Source organism: Homo sapiens, chromosome 2 (assembly GCF_000001405.40).
Source record: "Homo sapiens chromosome 2, GRCh38.p14 Primary Assembly".
In the NCBI taxonomy this organism is placed as follows: domain Eukaryota; kingdom Metazoa; phylum Chordata; class Mammalia; order Primates; family Hominidae; genus Homo; species Homo sapiens.
In genome coordinates this window covers 134,630,129-134,652,343 of record NC_000002.12, presented here as the reverse complement: position 1 = coordinate 134,652,343, position 22,215 = coordinate 134,630,129, and the positions used below count along the sequence as shown (strand labels likewise).

At 40.0% G+C, this 22,215-nt stretch overlaps 1 protein-coding gene across 1 annotated transcript in view, besides 1 other annotated feature; it reads left to right on the top strand.

Moving 5' to 3' along the window:
* TMEM163 (transmembrane protein 163) overlaps positions 1-22,215 on the top strand; it is a 263,242-nt gene that overhangs the window by 66,657 nt on the left and 174,370 nt on the right. The window lies entirely within an intron of this gene.
* Positions 16,559-16,759: a silencer, noted in NCBI's record as "peak3868 fragment used in MPRA reporter construct". NCBI's record gives its function as "represses an SCP1 promoter by STARR-seq MPRAs in K562 erythroleukemia cells {active_cell/tissue: K562}" and the evidence as "EXISTENCE:reporter gene assay evidence [ECO:0000049][PMID:32103011]".

Below are 22,215 nucleotides of genomic sequence, written 5' to 3'. Positions count from 1 at the left end.
CAGAGAGCCAAATCATGAGTGAACTCCCATTCACAATTGCTTCAAAGAGAATAAAATACCTAGGAATCCAACTTACAAGGGATGTGAAGGACCTCTTCAAGGAGAACTACAAATCACTGCTCAAGGAAATAAAAGAGGATACAAACAAATGGAAGAACATTGCATGCTCATGGGTAGGAAGAATCAATATCGTGAAAATGGCCATACTGCCCAAGGTAATTTACAGATTCAATGCCATTCCCATAAAGCTACCAATGACTTTCCTCACAGAATTGGAAAAAACTACTCTAAAGTTCATATGGAACCAAAAAAGAGCCCGCATCACCAAGTCAATCCTAAGCCAAAAGAACAAAGCTGGAGGCATCACACTACCTGACTTCAAACTATACTACAAGGCTACAGTAACCAAAACAGCATGGTACTGGTACCAAAACAGAGATATAGATCAATGGAACAGAACAGAGCCCTCAGAAATAATGCCGCATATCTACAACTATCTGATCTTTGACAAACCTGAGGAAAACAAGCAATGGGGAAAGGATTCCCTATTTAATAAATGGTGCTGGGAAAACTGGCTAGCCATATGTAGAAAGCTGAAACTGGATCCCTTCCTTACACCTTATACAAAAATCAATTCAAGATGGATTAAAGATTTAAACGTTAGACCTAAAACCATAAAAACCCTAGAAGAAAACCTAGGCATTACCATTCAGGACATAGGCATGGGCAAGGACTTCATGTCCAAAACACCAAAAGCAATGGCAACAAAAGCCAAAACTGACAAATGGGATCTAATTAAACTAAAGAGCTTCTGCACAGCAAAAGAAACTACCATCAGAGTGAACAGGCAACCTACAAAATGGGAGAAAATTTTCGCAACCTACTCATCTGACAAAGGGCTAATATCCAGAATCTACAATGAACTCAAACAAATTTACAAGAAAAAAACAAACAACCCCATCAAAAAGTGGGCGAAGGACATGAACAGACACTTCTTAAAGGAAGACATTTATGCAGCCAAGAAACACATGAAAAAATGCTCATCATCACTGGCCATCAGAGAAATGCAAATCAAAACCACAATGAGATACCATCTCACACCAGTTAGAATGGCAATCATTAAAAAGTCAGGAAACAACAGGTGCTGGAGAGGATGTGGAGAAATAGGAACACTTTTACACTGTTGGTGGGACTGTAAACTAGTTCAACCATTGTGGAAGTCAGTGTGGCGATTCCTCAAGGATCTAGAACTAGAAATACCATTTGACCCAGCCATCCCATTACTGGGTATATACCCAAAGGACTATAAATCATGCTGCTATAAAGACACATGCACACGTATGTTTATTGCGGCATTATTCACAATAGCAAAGACTTGGAACCAACCCAAATGTCCAACAATGATAGACTGGATTAAGAAAATGTGGCACATATACACCATGGAATACAATGCAGCCATAAAAAATGATGAGTTCGTGTCCTTTGTAGGGACATGGATGAAATTGGAAATCATCATTCTCAGTAAACTATCACAAGAACAAAAAACCAAACACCGCATATTCTCACTCATAGGTGGGAATTGAACAATGAGATCACATGGACACAGGAAGGGGAATATCACACTCTGGGGACTGTGGTGGGGTGGGGGGAGGGGTGAGGGATAGCATTGGGAGATATACCTAATGCTAGATGACGAGTTAGTGGGTGCAGCGCACCAGCATGGCACATGTATACATACATATGTAACTAACCTGCACAATGTGCACATGTACCCTAAAACTTAAAGTATAATAAAAAAACAAAAAACAAAACAAACAAACAAACAAACAAACAAAAAAAAGAAATAGAAGGCATCCAAATAGGAGAAGAAGAAGTCAGATTCTCTGTCTTCATTGATGATATGATTCTATACAAATGTTTATTTAAAAATAAATCTTTCAAGTTTGATTTATATCATCACCTATAATCTTGCTGCTTCAACCTTATTATTTAAATTTTTTGCTTATTTAATTGAAGATACAATTGATTTTTTTAAGTAAAAAGTTATTTATGTTAAAAATATATATGATAGAGAAGGGTAAGAAGTTAAAAATTAAAGGTTCCGAGCTCCTTTTTATGTGTTAATGAGTTGAAATATGTACTTCCAGATGTTTTTATACACATACATATACATACTAAAGCATATATAATATAGTACAGTTTTTTTAAACACAAAAATGTGGTTGTACTGTGCGTATTGCCCTATACCTTCCATTTTTTCACTCAATTGTATATCATGGACATTTTTGCATGCCATAATATGCAGACCTACATCATTCTTTTTTTTTTTTTTTTTTTTTAAGACAGGGTCTCACTCTGTTGCCCAGGCTGGAGTGCAGTGGTGTGATCATGGCTCACTGCAACCTCAGTCTCTTGGCCTCAAGAGAACCCCCACTTCAGCCACCCAAGTAGCTGGGACTACAGGCCTGTGCTACCATGCCTGGCTAATTTTTTGTAGAGGCAAGTGTTCACTACATTGCCCAGGTTGGTCTCAAATTCCTGAGATCAAGCAGTACACCCGCTTCAGCCTCCCAAAATTCTGGAATACAGGCATGAGTCACCATGCTCAGCCTATATAGGCTGCATAATGTTCTATAGAGATACCTTATGTTATTTTACCGATTCCAACACTGATTGACACTTAAATGGTTTCAAAGTTTCGGTTATTAAAATATGCATCCATATTTTAATGTAATTTCACTGTACTTACAAGTTTAAAATCAGTGTAAGCATTTATCTATGTCTCTGTCTTATTATTTAAGATTGATATCTTTCAACCAAGAATGCACCTAAACATTACCAGATTGTTATGCTCTTAAATGTCTCTTTTTCTCTACTATAGAGAGTGCTTCAATGGGCTACATTGCACTATTGTTTGCAAAAGGGATTATAAACATTTCCAATGCATTAGCGCTTTGAGGGTGTATTGGTCACTGATATCAGTCATAGGCACTAGGACATGGGAGGGATGGAGGGGAGCATGATGATTCCTCAAGTTGTGTTTGATCATTAGTTGACATTGAACATTTCAAGTGTTTGTTTTTGTTTTGTGTAAACTGTGTGAGTCTGTTTTGCTCATTTATCTCTTGATGCCTTGATTTTTTAGTGAGTTTGATAATTTTATATATTATACGTATACTTTGTTGTATTTCATGTGAATATTTTCTTCAGCCTCTTTGCCTATTATTTTGTCGCACACACTTATTTACTTTGATGGACTCAAATGTGTTAAACTTTTTGATATGTCGCAGGTCTGAGAATTATGTCTCCAGTGTTCTGACATTCAGTTCTTTCTTCAATTTTATTTTCCCCCACTACAAATACATGGATATATAACGATTTCTTAGTAGTCAAAATGATTCTTCAGCACCAGGGAAGTTTTTAGCCGTGAGCCATCAGCTGTGGTAATACCCTGGGGAAGTATTTACTTCTGGTTGAAGCGAATCATTTACATCCCATATTAGCAAGGGCTAAATGGATATAAGAAATATTACAGTTTAATACTGTTGGCAGGAAGCAAGTTCTTAGCACCATGAATCATACTACCCATTTCAGAAAGCCTATTATAATTAGAAGCAACAACACTTACACAGATTGATGAGTTATCAGTCTGTGTGGAGTTATCGCTTCCTTTCACATCTTTGTGTATACAATTCAAATAGAAAAGTAAATACAACAATCTTTCGTTGTTGCCAGCTGGATGATGGTTCTTTTTCCATATCCTTAATATGTATCTTTCCTACTCATCAGGTAGTGATAGGGACAGGAGGTAGGGAAATTCTGGGCAGAAGAGGGTGGGTCCCCAGCAACCACCCCACCCTCAAGCCTGGAACTGTGGCCCACTGTGAGAGCATGCATTCCTGTTTTCCCGCTCGAATGTTCCCTTTTCCAAAACCACCCATGGCCTGCCCCACAGCCCCATCCTGTGCCCATAGAAACCCCAGGTTCCACACAGCAGAGAAGAGAAGAGAAGAGAAGAGAAGAGAAGAGAAGAGAAGAGGAGAAGCAGTGAGATGCCAGAGACTATGGTTGGACATTGAAGAGAAGCAGCTTGACTTCAGAGGGATAGCTTGATGGTATTGCTTCAGAGAGGAGTCCAACTGGGGATGGCCAGACTCTGGGGGAAGATTATCTTCCTGCTCCATCCCTTTTTCAGCTCTCCTTCCTGCTGAGAGCCACTTTCATCGCCAATAAAATCCCCCACATTTACCATCTCTGATTTGTTTGTGTGACCTCATTCCTCCTGGACGCTGGACAAGAATTCAGTTGCAGGTGCAAAAGGCTGTCACGCTGACCCTCCACTGAGCTGTTAACACTTAAGCCATCTGTGGACAGCACTGAAAGAGCACTGACTGTAACACACTTTCTGGGGCTTCAGGGGTCGTGGGCACCCTCCTAGATGCTGCCACGGGGCCACACAGAGTTTTGCTCCTGCCAGCATCCAAAAGCGCTTGCCCTGGCTCCTGCACCTACTCACCTGTGCTCCCCGCTCTGTGAGGGGTGGAACACAGTGGGACTGAATGAGTGGAGTCCGCCCCTGCTGGCAATGAAGCAGCCAGCTAGCTCTAGCACCCGTGCACTCCAGTTTCCACCTGTGAAGGAGTCAGGGAAAGTTTCCTGCTTCGGTAGGTTTTCCAAATGCTCAAAACTGGTGGTGGGTGATGTGGTTTTGATCTGTCAGCTGTTTTCTTAGTATCTGTGGTGTGTAGGGAATGTAAATCCCTCTATCAGTTTTGACCTAGTCTATAACCTCCACAATTTATATTGAGCCTTATTACTTAATGTACAGTGCGACAGATTGAGGGTCCAGATGCAAACCCCACTGTCCATGAGTGCTCAGGAATTGTTGAAGAAGATCCTCTGTCAGTGATTTCGGAGGTTGGTAGCACATTCCAAGGCCATTTGCTTCCAGGCGCTTTTGAGAGGTGAGGGATGCTGGGGGAAACTAAGAGTCTTCCTCTTTAAATTTTATAAAAAGGCTGAGACTATTTCTTTTGTGATTGCTTTCCTTTTTGCCATAAATGTTCCCTCTGTGTCAGTTTTCTTTTTAATGTTTACTAAATGTAGTTCCTAGACATTTTGACTAATGAACTGGAAGATAATAATCATATAAACTTAATTTGAGCTGGAAGCAATGTAGAGGATATTGGGACTCTTCCTTTTATAAATGAGGAAACTGAGGCATGCAGAGATTGAATGACTTGGCTAAGGCACACAGCTGATGATTGGCAGGTCTGGATTTCCCGAGCCTGTCTTCTTGTTACTTCTCAAGCTAGGACCTTGGCATATGGTGCCCTTTGTCAGTGTTGACAGTGTATTCTGAGAAACTGGAAGAAGGGACCCATATTGGGAATGAACTTTGGCTGACTTGCCTCTTATCAATTACACAACTCCAGGTGGATTCAGAGTGTGAGGATGAATAGTTTATGAATATGACTTATCCTGTGGTCTCCTGGAATTGTTTCTTGTATGCCTTCATCATGAATCCAACCACAGTGGGTTCACATCCCTGACCCCCTTGTTGTCCCAGGATTTGTATTTAGTTTAAAAACATGGAATGGCCCAGACATGGTGGCTCATGCCTATAATCCTAGCACTTTGGGAGGCTGAGGCAGGTGGATCACTTGAGGTCAGGAGTTCGAGATCAACCTGGCCAACATTATGAAACCCCATCTCTATTAATAATACAAAAATTAGCTGGGCATGGTGATGCACACCTGTAATCCCAGCTACGTGGGAGGCTGAGGCACAAGAATCACCTGAACCTGGGAGGTGGAGGTTGCAGTGAGCCAAGATTGTGCCACTGCAGTCTGAGTGACAGAGTGAAATTATGCCTCTAAATAAATAAATAAATAAATAAAAGCATAGAATGAGGGTTGAAGCTGAAAAGAAGCAAACCAACAACTAAAAAAGCCATCTAGGCCACATACAGTGGCTCATGCCTGTAATCCCAGCACTTTGGGAGGCTGAGGCGGGTGGATCACCTGAAGTCAGGAGTTTGAGACCAGCCTGGCCAACATGGTGAAACGCTGTCTCTACTAAAAATAGAAAAATTCGCCAGATGTGGTGGCGGGCACCTGTAATCCCAGCTACTTGGGAGGCTGAGGCGGAAAAATCCTTTGAACCTGGGAGGTGGAGGTTGCAGTAAGCTGAGATCGTACCATTGCACTCTAGCCTGGGTGACAGAGTGAGACTGTCTAAAAAAAAAAAAAAGCCATTCCGCAAGTTACACATTGAGACTATGTTTGCATGTTAATCCTCAGATACTGTAAGTGAATAAATGTCTTCTACAAGGAAATCATAATATTAAGAGTAAAGTTTATCTTTAAAAAAATTTTACTTTCTAACTTAGCATAGAGTAAAATCAACTTTGTTTTTTAGTGTATACAGTACCATGACTTTTAACAATTGTAAGATCATGTTAACTACCACCATAATCAGAATACAGCACAATTTCATTATCCCCCAAAAGTCACTTTATATATACCCCCAACACCTAAAGCCTGGCAACCACTGATCTGTTCTTGCCACTATAGTTTTGTCTTTTTGGGGATGTCATATAATGAAATTGTATAGTATATAACCTTTTGAGATTGTCTTCTTTAACTCAGCTTAATGCCTTTGAGATTCATCCAAATTGTGTATATCAATAGTTTGTTCCTGTTTATTTTTGCATAGCATTCCATTATATGGATATACCACAGTTTGTTTATTTGTTCTTTTATTGAGGGACGTTTCAGTTGGTTCCAGTTTTTGGCAGTTATGACTAGAGATGCCATAAATACTTGCATACAGGTTCTTGTGTTAACATAAGTTTTCTCTTTTTTGGACCAGATGTTGGCAAACTTTTTCTGTAAAGGGCCAGATAGTAAGTATCTTTGGCCTTGCTGACCATGTGGTCTCTGTTGCAGCTATTCCACTCCACTCTTATAGCACAAATGCAGCCATAAACAATACATCAATGAAAAGGACCTGGGCACAGTAGAGCTGCTGCTGGATTTGGCCTGAGGACATAGGTTGAACCCTGTTCAAGGGTAAATACTTAGGTGTAGGATTGCTGGGTCATATGGCAAGTGTATGTTTAAATTTATAAGAAATTGTCAAACTGTTTTTCAAGACTGGTTATACCATTTTGTATTCCTACCAGCGATGTATAAGAGTTCTGGTTCCTCTATATTCTTGTAAGCATTTGGTATAAGCAGCATTTTTAACTTATGCTATTCTAACAGGTATGCAGTAGTATCTCATGGTTTTAGTTTGCATTTCCCTAATGGGTAATGATGTCAAATACCTTTTCATGTGCTTGTTTGCCATTTGTATATCTTTTTTAGTAATGTGGCTTTTCAAGGCTTTTAACCGTTTTTCAAAATTGTGTTGTTTACTTACAGTTGAGTTTTGACAGTTTTTAATATAGTCTGAATCCATGACCTTTGGTGGATATGTGATTTGAAAATATTATCTCCCAGTGGTAGCTTGTTTTTTTCATTCTCTTTATAGCATCTTTTGCAGAAAAATATTTTTCATTTTGGTGAAGTCAGTTGATCAATTTTTTCTTTTATGGAGCATGCTTTTGGTGTCGTGTCTAAAAACTCTTTGCCTAACTTCAGATCCCAACGGATTTCTCCTATGTTTTTTCTAAAATTTTGATAGTTTTATGTTTTACACTTAGATTTATTATCTATTTTGAATTAATTTTTGATGTATGAGGTATAGGTTGCAACTAATTATGATGTGTATAGATTGCAACTTATTTTTTGCATATGAATGTTTGGTTGTTCTAACATCATTTGTTGAAGGGGCCACCTTTTTAAATTGAATCGCATTAGTATCTGTGAAAGGAATCATATGGCCATATTTCTGCGGGTGTTTTTGGACTCTGTTCTGAGCTACTTGTTTTTCTTTTGCTAATACCCCATGGTCTTAATTACCGTAGCTTTCTAGTAAGTCTTCAAATTGGGTAGTGTATTCCTTTAATATTTTTCTTTTTCAAAAACATCGTTTTAGTTGTTCTAGTTCCGTTGGCTTTCCCTAAGAATTTTAGAATCAACTCCTCTATATCTAGAAAAAAAATCTCTCTGGAATTCAATGGCCTTTTCTTAAATCTATAGATAAGTTTACAGACATGTACATCTTTACTGTGTTTAGTCTTTCAATTCTTGAATGCAGTATGTCTCTCCATTTATTTAGAACTTCTTTAACTTCTTTCATCAGTGTTTTGAAGTTTTCAGCATACTGTTACTGCACACATTTTATTAGATTTACCTGCATTTAATGTTTTGGAACTATTGTAAATGCTTTATAAAACTTATTGCCAATTATACATTGTCAATGTATAAAAATATGGCTGGTTTTAGTGTGTTTATCTTATACCCTGCATACTTGATAGTTTTACTTATTAGTCCTAGGAGTTTCCTTTTTTACTTTTTTGAAGATTCCTTGAGATTTTCTGTTTAGAAAATCATATCATCTGCAAATAAGGACAGTTTTATTTCTTCCTTTCCTATCTGTATGCCTTTTATTTCTTCTTACATTACTATACTGGCTTTTAGTGTCATGTTGAATAGGAATGGTGAGAGTGAACATTCTTATCAGCTCCCAGAAGTCTTCTATTTGTAGTTTCCTAAGAGTTGTTTTTTTTTTAACATGAATGAATACTGAATTTTGACAATTGTCAATTGATGTGATCAATATATTTTGCTGAATTCTTTTTATTAGTATTTTGTTGAGGATTTTTGCATCATATTCATGAAGAATATTGATCTGTAGTTTTCTCTTTTTATACTTTCTTTGGTTTTGGTATCAGGATAATGTTCACCTCATAAAATAATGTAAGAATTATTACCTCTTCTTATATTTTCCAGAAGACTTGGTGTGGAATTGGAGTTATTTCTTCTTTAAATGCTTGGTAGGATTTGCTAGTGAAACTACCTGGGCCTGGAGATTTGCTCTTCAGAGAAGGATTGTAAATTATGGATTATATTTCTATAACAGTTAGAGTACTATTCCATTTATCTCTTTCATTTTGAGTAAAGTTTGGTAGTTTAGGGAGGAATTGATCAATTTCATCTAAATTGAAAGATTCAGGTACATAAAGTTGTTGTTATATTACTTATTATTCTTTTAATGTCTGTGGGGTCTAGTGATGTCTCCTCTTTCAGTTCTGATATTGGTAATTTGTGTCTTCTCTCTTTTTGTGTCAGCATTGCTAGAGGTTTACGTATTTCTTTTTCAAATAATCAGCTTTTTGTTTCATTTATTTTGCCTTTGTAATGTTTTCAATTTCATTGGTTTCTGATCTCTTTATTATTTCTCTGCTTCTGCTTGCCATGCTTATTCTTTGTTCATCTCTTTTTTTGTAGGGTAGAAACTAAGATTATTGCTTTGATACCTACCTTCTTTAAAAAGATAAGCATTTAATGATCTAACGTCCTTTGAAGCACTGCTTTGTCTGTATCCCACAAATTTTAATATGCTCTATTTTCATTTTTGTTGCATTTGTAATATTTTCAAATTCTTTTTTGAAGTATCCTCTTTGAGTCTGGGATTATTTATACTTGTGTTGTTTGGTTTCTAAATGTTTAAAGATTTTCTTGTCATCTTTCCATTGTTGATTGCTAATTTAATCCCATTATAGTCAGAGGATATACTTCATGTTTTGTAAACCAGGCTATGGTTTATCCTAGTGAATGTTCCATGTGCACTTGAAACACATGTGTATTCTACTGTTATGGTGTATGGTATTGTGTAAATTTCAATTAGTTCCAGTTGGATACTGGTGTTGTTCCATTCTTCTACATCTTCGCTGATTTTCTTACTAGTTCTATCTGTTACTAAGAAAGTAGTATTGAAGTCTCCAACTGTAATTATGGATTGGTGGCCGTTCGCGGTGGCTCGTGCCTGTAATGCCAGGACTGTGGGAGGTCAAGGCGGGTGGATCACCTGAGGTTAGGAGTTCGAGACCAACCTGGCCGACATGATGAAATCCCATCTTTACTAAAAAATACAAAAATTTGCTGGGCATGATGGTGCATGCCTGTAATCCCAGCTTCTCAGGAGGCTGAGGCAGGAGAATTGCTTGAACCCGGGAGGTGGAGGTTGGTTACAGTGAACTGAGATCACACCACTGCACTCCAGCCTGGGCGACAGAGCAAGACTCCATTTCAGAAAAAAAAAAAATCGTGGATTGGTCTTAATAACCAATCTTTTTCCTTTTTCAGTTCTTTTTTCATGTGTTTTGAAGCTCTGCTGTTAGGTAAATATACATTTAGTATGTTGTGTTTTCTTGATGAATCGACCCTTCACCGTTATGTAATGTCTCTCTGTATCCTTGATAGTTGTTTTTGCTCTGAAATCTACTTTGTCTGATATTAATATATCTGCTCTAGCTTGTTTTTGATTCTTGTTGACATGGTATATCTTTTTACATTTGGCTTTTAACCTATTTATATAATTATATTTGAGGTGAGTAGTCTGTAGATAGCACATAATTGGCTTGTTTGAAAAATGCAATCCTTATAGCCTCTGTTTTTTAATTGGTGCATTTAGAGCATTCATATTTAATATAATTATTGATGTGCTTTTCTTTAGATATACCATTTAATTATCTATTTTTTGTTTCTTTGTCTTTTCCTGATCTTTTTGAATTATTTGAACGTGTTTTAGCGTTCCATTTTAATTTAATTATTGTGCTTTTGACTATGTCTTTGTATATAAATTTTTAGTGGCTCCTCTGCCAGATATATGTATTGCACATATTTTCTCCTTCCATCTGTTGCTTGACTTTTTATTTCCTTAACCATGTCTTTCTGAGCAGAAGTTAAAAGGTTAATTTCTCTGAATGGTATTGCTTTCTATGCTATTTTAAGAAATCTTTTTCTATGCTCAGTTCGCAAAGATATTTTCTTATGTTTCCTTCTAGAAGTTTTATAGTTTTAGCTTTTATGTTCATGCTCACAATCAATTTCTAGTTAGTATTTGTATATGGTGTGAGGTGGGAATCAGAGTCCATTTTTTCTTACAGTCGACTATTCAGTTATTCCACCACCACTTTTTAAAAAGATTTTCTTTTGGCTCTTGAAATACCTTGGCATCTTTGTTGAAAATCAATTGACCATATATGTGTGGGCCTGTTTCTGCATTTTATTTTGTGTGCCATTGTTTATTTGACTACCCTTATCTCAATTTTGATTACTACTGAAATTTTGTATTCATGGGCAATTTCCTTTTGTTTTTGTAGCTATGTATTATTTCCAACTGCATCTTCATCCATGTTCTCAAGAATGCTTTGAAACTTTCTTTTTGCTGTTTGTAGTATGTTTACACACATGCTTGCTCTTTGTCATAAACATGGACAGCTAAACATGGACAGCTTTATCTACAACTATTCTTTGTTTTAACAAAGTAAAGCAGATTTCTTCATGTTATCTTTTCTGTCTTAAATGAGACCTGTTTGCCTTCCTCTCTGAGCTGCAGTTTGAGGACATTGAGTATTATGTGTAAGTTTTCTATGATCTGAAGGTGCATGGTAGGTAAAGGGCTATGGGGATGGAGCTTGGCTGAGCGTGGGTGTAGTCTGTTTTGAGAGACCTGGGCTGTGCTTTCTCTTCTGAGATTTGGTTAAAGGTCTTAAACCAGGGTTTGTCCCCCTGGGGCGTGTCTTTTCCCGTGGGTTGGAGGCTAGTCTCAGGCTTGAAGCATTTCCCCGGTTCATAGAGAACTGCCCAAAGAACTGTTAACAGTTTTGATGGCCTCTGCTGAGATCTAGAGATACTGCAGTGATGGTTAAAACTCATCTGTACCAATGCCATTTTGCTTGAGTTTTCTAGGCTATTATCCATTTCCTCATCTTGCTTTTCATGAAATTGGAGTGTATTAGTGAGAATTTTCAGTATATTGTCATCTTCTGCAGGCTAGGCACCCTGCAAAAGCTATTTCTTTTCTTTTTTGGGATTGATGGGTAAAGTTTTATCTACTTCATTTTTCTTTTTTCTGGGGTTGGGCGTGAGGGGAGAAGGCTGTATTTTTCATCAGTTTGTTAGGAATTAATGAAGTGAGGAGGGACCCTGGTCCTTGTGCTCTGCCATCTTTAACACAGATGTCGCACAGCATGGCTCATCCCTTCCTTTTCTGCCTTTTATAATTTTATCTTCTGATTTTGTATTTCATATCCCATATTATTGACTTGAGTTTTAACCTTTTCCCAAGTACTGATTGCAGAACTGGTACTTTAAAAATTAGGACTTTGTTACCAGGAAATAGAAATGGCAGTAAAGAGAACCAAAGTCTTAGATAAACTATACTCTGGGGAAACTGGGGTTTATTTTTAAGGAAAATTGAATTGTAAGTGCTCATTGTGTCCAGGAAAGAAGTGAGTAAGAAGATAATTTAATATCTGAAAGAAGCGGCTTGCTGAATTTAATGCTATTACTGACCTGACAATAAAGGAATGAGCCAAAGAAGAAACATTAGAATCTTCCTTTCCTGGGAGACATGGGGCATATTCAGAAAAAATATTTTAATTTCATTGTCAACGGTGGTTTGAAAAGTATCTAATACGCTGGGCCTCGGAAAGAGTGGTATGTCATCTTTTGTGTTGTTGCTTGTTTCTGTGGCATTTTCTAGATCTTTATTTCTGATTTAGCAGACGGTTTGCTATAACTAGACAAAAGGGTCCTCCATGGATAAGGTTACACAAAAACAGCACATTTAGACGACAGCCTGTGTCAGTGACATTTTGCTGTGAGCCTCTTTGTTAGAAGCTTCTCTCACTGCAGAAACACCATTGGGGATTGGTGGGTCTCAGCATCTCCAGTGAAAGCAAAAGCTACCAGAAAATGGGAAATGGAACCAGAAACCACAAATAAAAGAGACCATGGCAGTACTACACAGTGGGCTAATTTTCAGATGGTCAGAATCTCTCAGCAGTCATGATGATGAGGCACTTGGGACCAGTTGTCCTGAGATTTTGCTATATATCAGTTATCTGCTTTGTCTCTTCTTCAATATTCTGCCTTCTTCACTTAAACCTTCTCTTCAGCTTACGAATGCCAAACAGTCTTCCTGTCCTGTGAAAAATCCACTCTGATTTTACTGCTCTCCTTCACTCCCGTGTTGATTCTGCTCAGTGTCAGCTCGGTGGAATGCAGCTCTAGTCTTACTTCCTTTGCTTCCTTTGGTGTTTTTTCAGGTTGTGTTGATAGATGACTGTGGGTCCAGGCGTCAGATCATCCCTTTCCTCCTTAAATGTTGGTGAACTGAGAGAGAAGTGGCACTTGGCGCTCTGTACCCCTCTCTCCCTGGGTGGCCTTGTCCCATTCCAGGCTTCAGCCATCACCTCTGTGGGTGGTGCCTAAAGGTCTGTTCCCATTCCTGTCCCTTCTGAGTTCCATGACACATTTTCAGCCACTGTTAAAAACATCTACCTGGTTGTCCCATAAACATTTCAAGGTCACCACATGCACCATGGAGCTCACCTTCATTCAATTCAGCATCTCCCGTGGTGAGGGTGTTGTTTTGGCACCCGTGTCCTCCTGACATCTCAGGCTTGGAAACGCTGTAGGAGCCTTTGGTTCTCCCCTCTCCTTTCCTCACTGTCCTACCCACTTGCTCTGCTCTCTGTTCCTGTCCCCATACCATCAGGCACTAACAATTAATTTTTCCCTCTGTGGTTTCTCCTGTATTGGTCCTAAATCCTTTTCCTTGTATTCTCTCCATTACCCCTGCCTTCATTCAGGTTCTCTTGCCAGCACATTGCTAGCGCCTCCTAAATGGTCTTTCTCCATCATCTCCTTCCTTTAATCCTCTTGACTCTTCTATCCAGATTTCCCACCATAACACAGATGTCTGTGATCCTGCCAGCCCCCTTTTCTTGACTTTCCTACTCATTCAGGAGCTTTCAATGATGCATGCCCTTTGATTGACGTCTTCCACTTCTACTAGGATTTATCTTGCAGATTTACGCAGATGTGCATGCAGAAAGTCTGACACACAGTTTGCTAACATGTTTGCTGTCATGTTTTGTAATGGCAAAAGGGGTAATAACCTCTATAACCATCAATAGGACACTGCTTAAATAAATTACGGTAGAGTAATATAATGCATAGAATATCCTGCGGCTATTAATAATAATGAGGTATGTGTCTATTTGCTGATACGGAACAAATTCCAAAGTACATTGGTAAATTTTTAAAAAGGTGAGAGGCAAAACAATGTATATATTAATACGTCTCTATTTGTGTTAAACAAACAGGATGAATATTCATCAAATATTTTTGGAAGATTACTTAACCCTGTTTTGTGCAGTTTACTTTTTTAAGCCATGCACATTAAGTCCCACTTCACATTGTTGATTGGTTCTTGGAAACTGACCTTACCAATTTTACCACAGGCTCATTGATATAAGCAAGAGCTGAGTTCCTAAAGGCATATTTCTTGTTACAAACTTCCAAATACATCATCAAACTTCCAAATAAAGACCCAAAACACTTCTAATATTTAACATTGAAATAAATGTGAGCTGCACATACATTTAAGAAAGTTTAAGAGAAAACAAGTAAGAGAATTATTTACCCAGTTTTTGGTGAATTGGTGAGTGATGGTGGTTGTGGTGGTGGTGGGTTCATTTAAGGAATAAGTGTTTGCAAAGCAAAAATCATCAGGAGCACCTCCTACCCCTAAGCAGCTCAAAAACAATCACAAGTAGGGTGGACTCACTGAGCACACTCAGCCTGCATCGGATATTGTTGTGAAATTGTATGATTATAGTAGACTTGATGAATTTTTATTTTACAATAATTTATGTTTATTCATTCATTTATTGATTCATTCATTTTTTCAACCCATTTATTCTAGTTCTAGGTTGAGAATGGCTGGAGCCCATCCTGGCAGCACAGGCTGCCAGGCGGGAACCAGCCCTGGATGGGATGCCATCTCATCTCAGGGCACACTCAGGCACACCCACACTCACTCATGTAGTATGAGTGGGGACCATGTAGACTTGGCAGTTCATCTCACATGCACAGCTTTGGGGTATGGGAGGGAACTGGAGTCTCCAGAGGAAACCCATGCAGCCGTGGGGAGAATGTGCCAACTCCACACAGACAGTGGCCCTGGTGGGGAATTGGATGATTTTTCTCATCAATGTTTTGTAATCGCCCAACAATTCACCTTGCCTGCTGCCTAGACAGAGCTAATTTGTCAAGACAGAGGAACTGCAATAGAGAAAGAGTAATTCAGTCCGAGCTAGCTGTGTGGGAGACTGGAGTTTTATTATTACTCAAATCAGTCTTTCCAAGCATTCAGGGATCAGAGTTTTTAAGGATAATGTGGTGGGTGGGGGGCCAGTGAGTCAGAAGTGCTGGTTGGTTGGGTTGGAGATGAAATCATAGGGAGTTTAAGCTGTCCTTTTGCCCTGAGTCAGTTCCTGTGTGGGGACCACAAGACCAGAGGAGCCAGTTTATTGATTTGGATGGTACCAGCTGATCCATCAAGTGCAGAATCTGCAAAATATATCAAGCACTGATCTTAGGTTTTATAATAGTAATATAATCCCCAGGAGCAATTTGGGAAGGGTCAGAATCTTGTAGCCTCCAGCTGCATGACTCCTAAATCATAATTTCTAATCTTCTGGCTAATTTGTTAGTGCTACAAAGGCAGTCTAGTCCCTAGGCAAGAAGGAGGTTTGTTTTGGGAAAGGGCTGTTATGGTCTTTGTTTTAAACTTTAAACTATAAACTAAGTTCATCCCAAAGTCAGTTCACCCTATGCCCAGGAAAGAACAAGGACAGCTTGGAGGTTAGAAGCAAGATGAAGTTGGTTAGGTCAAGTCTCTTTCACTGTCTCAGTTATAATTTTGCAATGGCGGTTTCGATGATAATTAAATGACATTGAACGAAAGATACTATATAGGAGCTGCTGTACATGTTTACGTTTTCCCTAAAGAAACCTTGGCAAGTAAATAAATTAACAAAACCTTGCAAGTAATTCTTGTGGACTGTAGAAACAAGTCTGGATTTCTGAAGCAGCCTTCCATTAAAGCACCTTTAGATTTGGTGCCTGTACCTGGTCTTTGCCAGCCAGCCTGAGCCCAGTGATGAAAGGCACAGACTTCTGATCACTGGTGTGGTGTGGTGGACACAGCCCTGACAATGCACTTAGTGCTAGACCAGGTCCTGGCAGACCCTTGGTCCACATGTCCTCGTGTTAGTGACTGGATTGCAGAGACAATTGAGAGTTCCATGGGGGAAGGGAAAGGAAGGGTGGCCAGGATGAGGGTAGCAGAGATGCATGAGGCAGGAGAGGAAGGGCCAGCTAGCAGCCATATACCTTCTGATATGGAGGGTTTGGGGGATTTTAACAACCAGCAGGACCATTCTGTTGTCTCCCCAATGAGTGTCAACCCCGAATGTTGTTCATGGGGTCTCTGCTTGCTGATTCGAGTATGTGTCCACACCCACACGGTCTTTTCCACTTGGAACACTCTTTTCCAATCCCCACTTTTGCCGATCTTGCCCCTGCTTCAAGGCTGGCTGAGATCCCCTGTTCATTTTTCCTTGCTCCTGGCTACAAGTACTCACCCTCTGCTCTCTGAAGCTGGAAGGCCTTTATCTGTGTCTGGGTTTCCGTATTTCTTTCTGCATGGGCTTATTGGTTTTTTCCTTGTCTTATCTCCCCTGGTAAAGACTTTAATGACATTCTGGTAAGACGGGAGTCATTTGTCTTTGTGTCTCCTCTATTCTAGTGAAGGCATTTTCCAGGACTCTAGCGGCATCGAATGCTTGTTCTGGTCCCTCTAGTATAATACTTGTTAGTCCAAGGATCTTAGAAGATTTTGTCACTCTGAGATACCTCAAATGGTAACTCAACTGATGATTGATGGAAGAGGGATAGAGAAGGATGAATTGCTATTCCTTTAGCAAACGAAGTAGGAGATATTTTAAGGGGGCAATTTTGGAGTTGGGTGGGAGTCTGAGGGGGTGGCTCAGGGATGCACAGAGCCAACAGATAGAAGAGCCGTCTACTGAGCATTGGGAACAAGTCCCTGTCACCAGGAAATAAGGTTGTAGTATTCCTGTTCTCCAGTCAACACAGAAATCTCAGCAAGGAGTCAGAGACTGTAATTGTCTCAATTTTCGATGTAGATGGATTTTCATAAATGTTTTTACTTAGATGTTTCTTTAACTTGCTTGTTATTTTCCATGAGACCTTTTCATATTTTTAAGCCAATCTCACTGTCTTTCCTCCTGTCCCCTTCTCCATCAACAGCAATGACACATTACACATGTGAACCCAGTTGGCACACTTGAGATTCTTCTGGCTGAGATTCTTTAAAATTTGGTTTCACTTGTTCAATGTATGTTTCTCATCTCTCTTTTATCCTTTTCTCTAAACTTAGCAACTATTCTAGAGTTAGGGATTGAAGAAAATTTGCCCTGCTTGGCATTATTCCATCTTTTATTGCAGAGGTTAGCAAACTATGGCCTATGGGCCAACCACTGCCTGTTTCTGTAAATAAAGTTTTATTGAGATTTGTTTACATAATTGCTGTGCAAGGGTAGATTTGAGTAGTTCTGACGAAGACTATATGCACCCAAAGCCTAAAATATCTACTGTCTGGCCCTTTTCAGAAAGAGTTGGTGGATCCCTGTCATATTGTGTTAAATTGTCATCCCACTTCTTCTCCCCCTCCACCTTAATCCTATTTTCTCCTTGGCTGGTTCCTCTATCATGTTCATGCCATGACATATCCAATCAGTCAGCCAAAAGCACTAGCTGGAGATGTGCAGCCCCATCCTTCTCACCTAGTCACTGCCTTGTGGTCCTCCAGTCTGGGTGAGGGTGGAGGAGGAGCTGGTCTTGAATTATTGTTCATGGTACCAGGCACTAAGTTAAGTGCTTTACATGCTCAACCTCTCTACAACTTACATGGAGAGAATGGAATTATCCTCATTTTATTGACAGAAATGAGGCACAGAGCAGCTTTGTAACTTGTCCCTTGTCTCATAATTGGCAGATGCCAAAGCCTGGCTGTGAACCGAGTCTGTCTGACTCCAGAGAGCAGCCCATTTCCTCCTCTGCTGTGCTACTGCCTCATCAAAACCAAGCCTAGCTTTGAGGCACACAGGCTTTTTTGTTCATGCCCCATCTGACTTGATCTTTCTGTCATACTTGAACTTTTGCTGCCTATGTTTGTCTTTTCTACTTCTTCTACCTAGAGAAAGAGAAATTCCTTAGAGACTTCATTTTCTCATCTTTCCTCTTACTTTTGCATCTTAAAACAGTCCTATTATATATATATATATATATATATATATATATATATATATATATATATATATATATGTATTTTTTTTTTGAGACAGTTTCACTATTGTGGCCCAGTGCAGTGGCATGATCTCTGCTCCCTGCAGCCTACACCTCCTGGGTTCAAGTGATTCTCCCACCTCAGCCTCCCGAGTAGCTAGGATTGCAGGCGCACACCACCACACCCAGTTAATTTTTGTATTTTTAGTAGAGACAAGGTTTTGCCATGTTGGCCAGTCTGGTCTCGAACTCCTGACCTCAAGTGATCCACCTGCCTCGGCCTCCCAAAGTGCTGGGATTACAGGTGTGAGCCACCACATGTGGCCTAAACCAGGCATATTTTAAGACTGTTCTTATTCACTCTTTTCTTCTATAGGGATCTAATCTATGGTTAGACCTTGAAGAGCCAGCTTTGTACAGAATCTGTAGTCTGCTTTTCTTTGTGAACTAAATTGTGGACCTGATCTTTTGCAAAAGCTCCCATCTTTCTAATTTTTTATGGAACTTGTATTAAGAGTCTGCATGACATTAAAAATTCCTATCCTTCCCTAGGATTAGTTCTTCCTCTCGCCTCAGGGTTTCTGCTCTTGGCAACATGATTCTGCCAGTCACTAAGATTTGGAAGATAATGATTACATTTCCTCCTATCCTCCTCCCTCACCTCCCAACCGCTCATGTCTCTGTCATCTCATGTATTTGTCCTGGCCTGTCCTAATCCTGCCACTCCAACCCCAGGCCAGCATTTGCAGTATCTTTTGCTTAGACCAATATAATAGCCTCTTTCTGTCTTTAGTGCTCTAGGCCAGGAATGACAGACTGCCTTGTGGTACTCTCTCCTTTTAACCAGATTGTGCCTCAGAAACCTTCTTCTATGGTCTGAATGTATCCCTCCAAAATTCATGTTGAAACCTAATCTCCTTTGTGTTGGTATTAAGAACGTAGGGCCTTGGCCTGGTGCAGTGGCTCACGCCTGTAATCCCAGCACTTTGGGAGGCCGAGGCAGGCGGATCACGAGGTCAGGAGATCGAGACCATCCCGGCTAACATGGTGAAACCTTGTCTCTACTAAAAATACAAAAAAAAAAAAAAAAAAAAAATTAGCTGGGTGTGGTGGCGGGTGCCTGTCGTCCCAGCTACTCCGGAGGCTGAGGCAGGAGAATGGCGTGAACCCGGGAGGCAAAGCTTGCAGTGAGCCGAGATCCCGCCATTGCCCTCCAGCCTGGGTGACAGAGCGAGACTCCATCTCAAAAAGAAAAAAAAAAAAAGAACATAGGGCCTTTTGGGGAGTGATAAAGACATGAGGCTTTGCCACCATGAATGGGGTCCATGCCCTTATAAAAGAGATTGAAGGCAGCGCCCCTCTCCTTCCACCCTTTGAGGACACAGCAACAAGGTGGCACCTGTGAAGCAAAGAGCAGGTCCTCATCAGACACCACATCTGCTGTACTTTGATCGGGGATGCCCCCCGCCTCCAGAATTGTGAATAAGACATTTCTATTATTTAAAAGTTACCCAGTCTAAGGTATTTTGTTATAGCAGCTTAAATGGACTAAGACACCTTCTTGACATAGTCAGTGATGGCACTGCAGTCCATCCCATGTCTGATTTATTTATTTTATGTAGTTATGGTTGAAATAATTTTCCTCATTTATATCACTTATCTGCTTGAAAGCCCAGTTGTTCCTACTGGTGAACAAATTACTAACCAGTGTCCAGAGAGGCACACAAAGCCTTCCCTTCTATGGCCTCTGGTTTTTCTTGCTAGCTCATTGCCTGCTCTGTGTTCCGTGAGTCCCAGGCAATTGGGTAAGTCACTGGTCCTAATCTGTGGTTCCTTGCTTCCCACCTTCATGGTATTATCACTTCTTTCTGGAATGCTTTTGCCATCTTGCAAAGCCCTTTTCAAGGGCTATTTCCTCCATGGTATCTCTGATTTCCAGACAAATGTGAATTTTGTCCCTTTTGAGCCTCCATATGACTTTGTTGGAAACTTTCTTGTGGAATTTAGCTCCTACATGTACCGTGGTGACTGATGAACTTGTCATACTGTCTCTTCATGGCACCACAAATACACTAAAGCAGGAAATCTTCTCTGCTTAAATAATGTTTAAGATGCCTAAGAAATGCTTAATAAATATTTGTTGAATTATTCTGAATGGAATTATAGGAGAAAAGTCATATGGTTGGCCATGAAATGTAACAGGCTTCTCATTCAGGTATTCCTAATATACTGTTGATCAAGTGGTGCTCAGTTCTTCAAAATATGCCTTTGGTAACATTTATTTTGAGCTAAAATATTATTGTCTTTAGCCAAGGCCCAGCACATACCAGCTCAGTATGATGGAACACGAAGAACCCAGAAATAGCTCCCATGGCATGTAATACCATCTTGGCCACTAACTCAGTGCTCTGGCATTGGATTTGACCCTTGGCCTTTCTGGGCTTTAGTTTTCTCATCTGTAAAGTGGGCCTGGATAAATACCCTTTCCAGTAGAGCAGCAGTACCCCCCAGGGGACGTCTGGCAATGTCTTGAAGTAGTCACTACTTCTTGGGGGTTAGTGTGCTACTAGGCCAAGAATGCTGCTAGACCTAATTGCACAGGAAGGCCCCCCAGCAAAGAATGTTCAAAAATGTCATTACAGTACAAAAACAAAACAGAACAAGAAAAAAAAGTCATTAGTGTGAGATTGAGGAACCCTAAAGTTGAGCTGAAAACTGAAGGTTTAGAAGCAACATAGCAAGAAATTAACAAGCTGTGCTTATCTAGGACCCTTCCCAACTGCCTGCGAATGTCGGAACTGCCATGTCCCCCTTGACATATTCTAGCCACCCCAGTCCAAGATCTGTAAACCTCATTTGAGCCTGCGTTTTCCTTTTTATTAGAAGCATTAGAAGGTCCTTCTGTACACCTGGAATGCCTTTAATTCATTCCTTTTAGGTTCTTGTTTGTACTTTGTTGCTGGTTTTCCCTTTTTAAACCAATTTTTTTTTTCCCTCAAGTGTTTGACACTTAGCTGAGTGAGGCTGTCAAAATGTTTTACTTCTCCATTAGCATAGCCTGTCTTAGCTCAGTATTGTGTGTGTGTTTGTGGTGGTTTTTTGTTTAATCTGCTGAGCCACAGATTAACAACCAGAACTCCCCCTCTGTCCCTCACACATCTCCCATACAAAACACAGATATTACAAAATCAGTTTCAAAAAGCATCCTAGACATTTTGCAGTGTGAAGAGGAACTGGAGGTGGTGTGCTTCTGATGGAAGGTTGCCATGGCAACTATGTGGCGATAACTCAACCTGGGTAGGGAGGGAGGGGCCCAGGGGAGAGGACCTGGCTGTCAGACCCCTGTTCAGCCCCTCAGCAACATCTGATTTCTCAGCACAGTCTTGGGATCAGCATTTGACTCTCCAAGAGTGCAGGGGATGTGCCTGTGTCAAGATGGCCGGGCCCATGTCTAGGCTGTTTGCTTAGGTCTTTCTTTCCCATTCTAGCATTGGGGGCTTTTCCCTCTCGCCCTGCTTGTCTTATTCTCTGCACAGCGCTGCATTGGATATGAGGGGCCTAATAAGGGAAATTCAGATATATGAAGACATCACTGATTTGAAAACGCTGGAAATAAAAGGAGTATTATTTAGAGTTTTTTTTTTTCTTTTTGGAAATAAGCTACAGCTTTGAAATAGGCTTATTGTGTGGCACTGGTACCAATGATCCCTTCCATTTCTGAGAAACCTACCCTGTCCTAGAGACTTATCATGTGTTGTCTCGTTGGGTTCTTGTGTATATTTTCATGTGTATAATTATTATTCCTATTGTACAGATGCAAAAAGTGAGGATCAGGGAGGTTAGGTGCTTGCCTAAGATCACACAGCTGGTAAGTGAC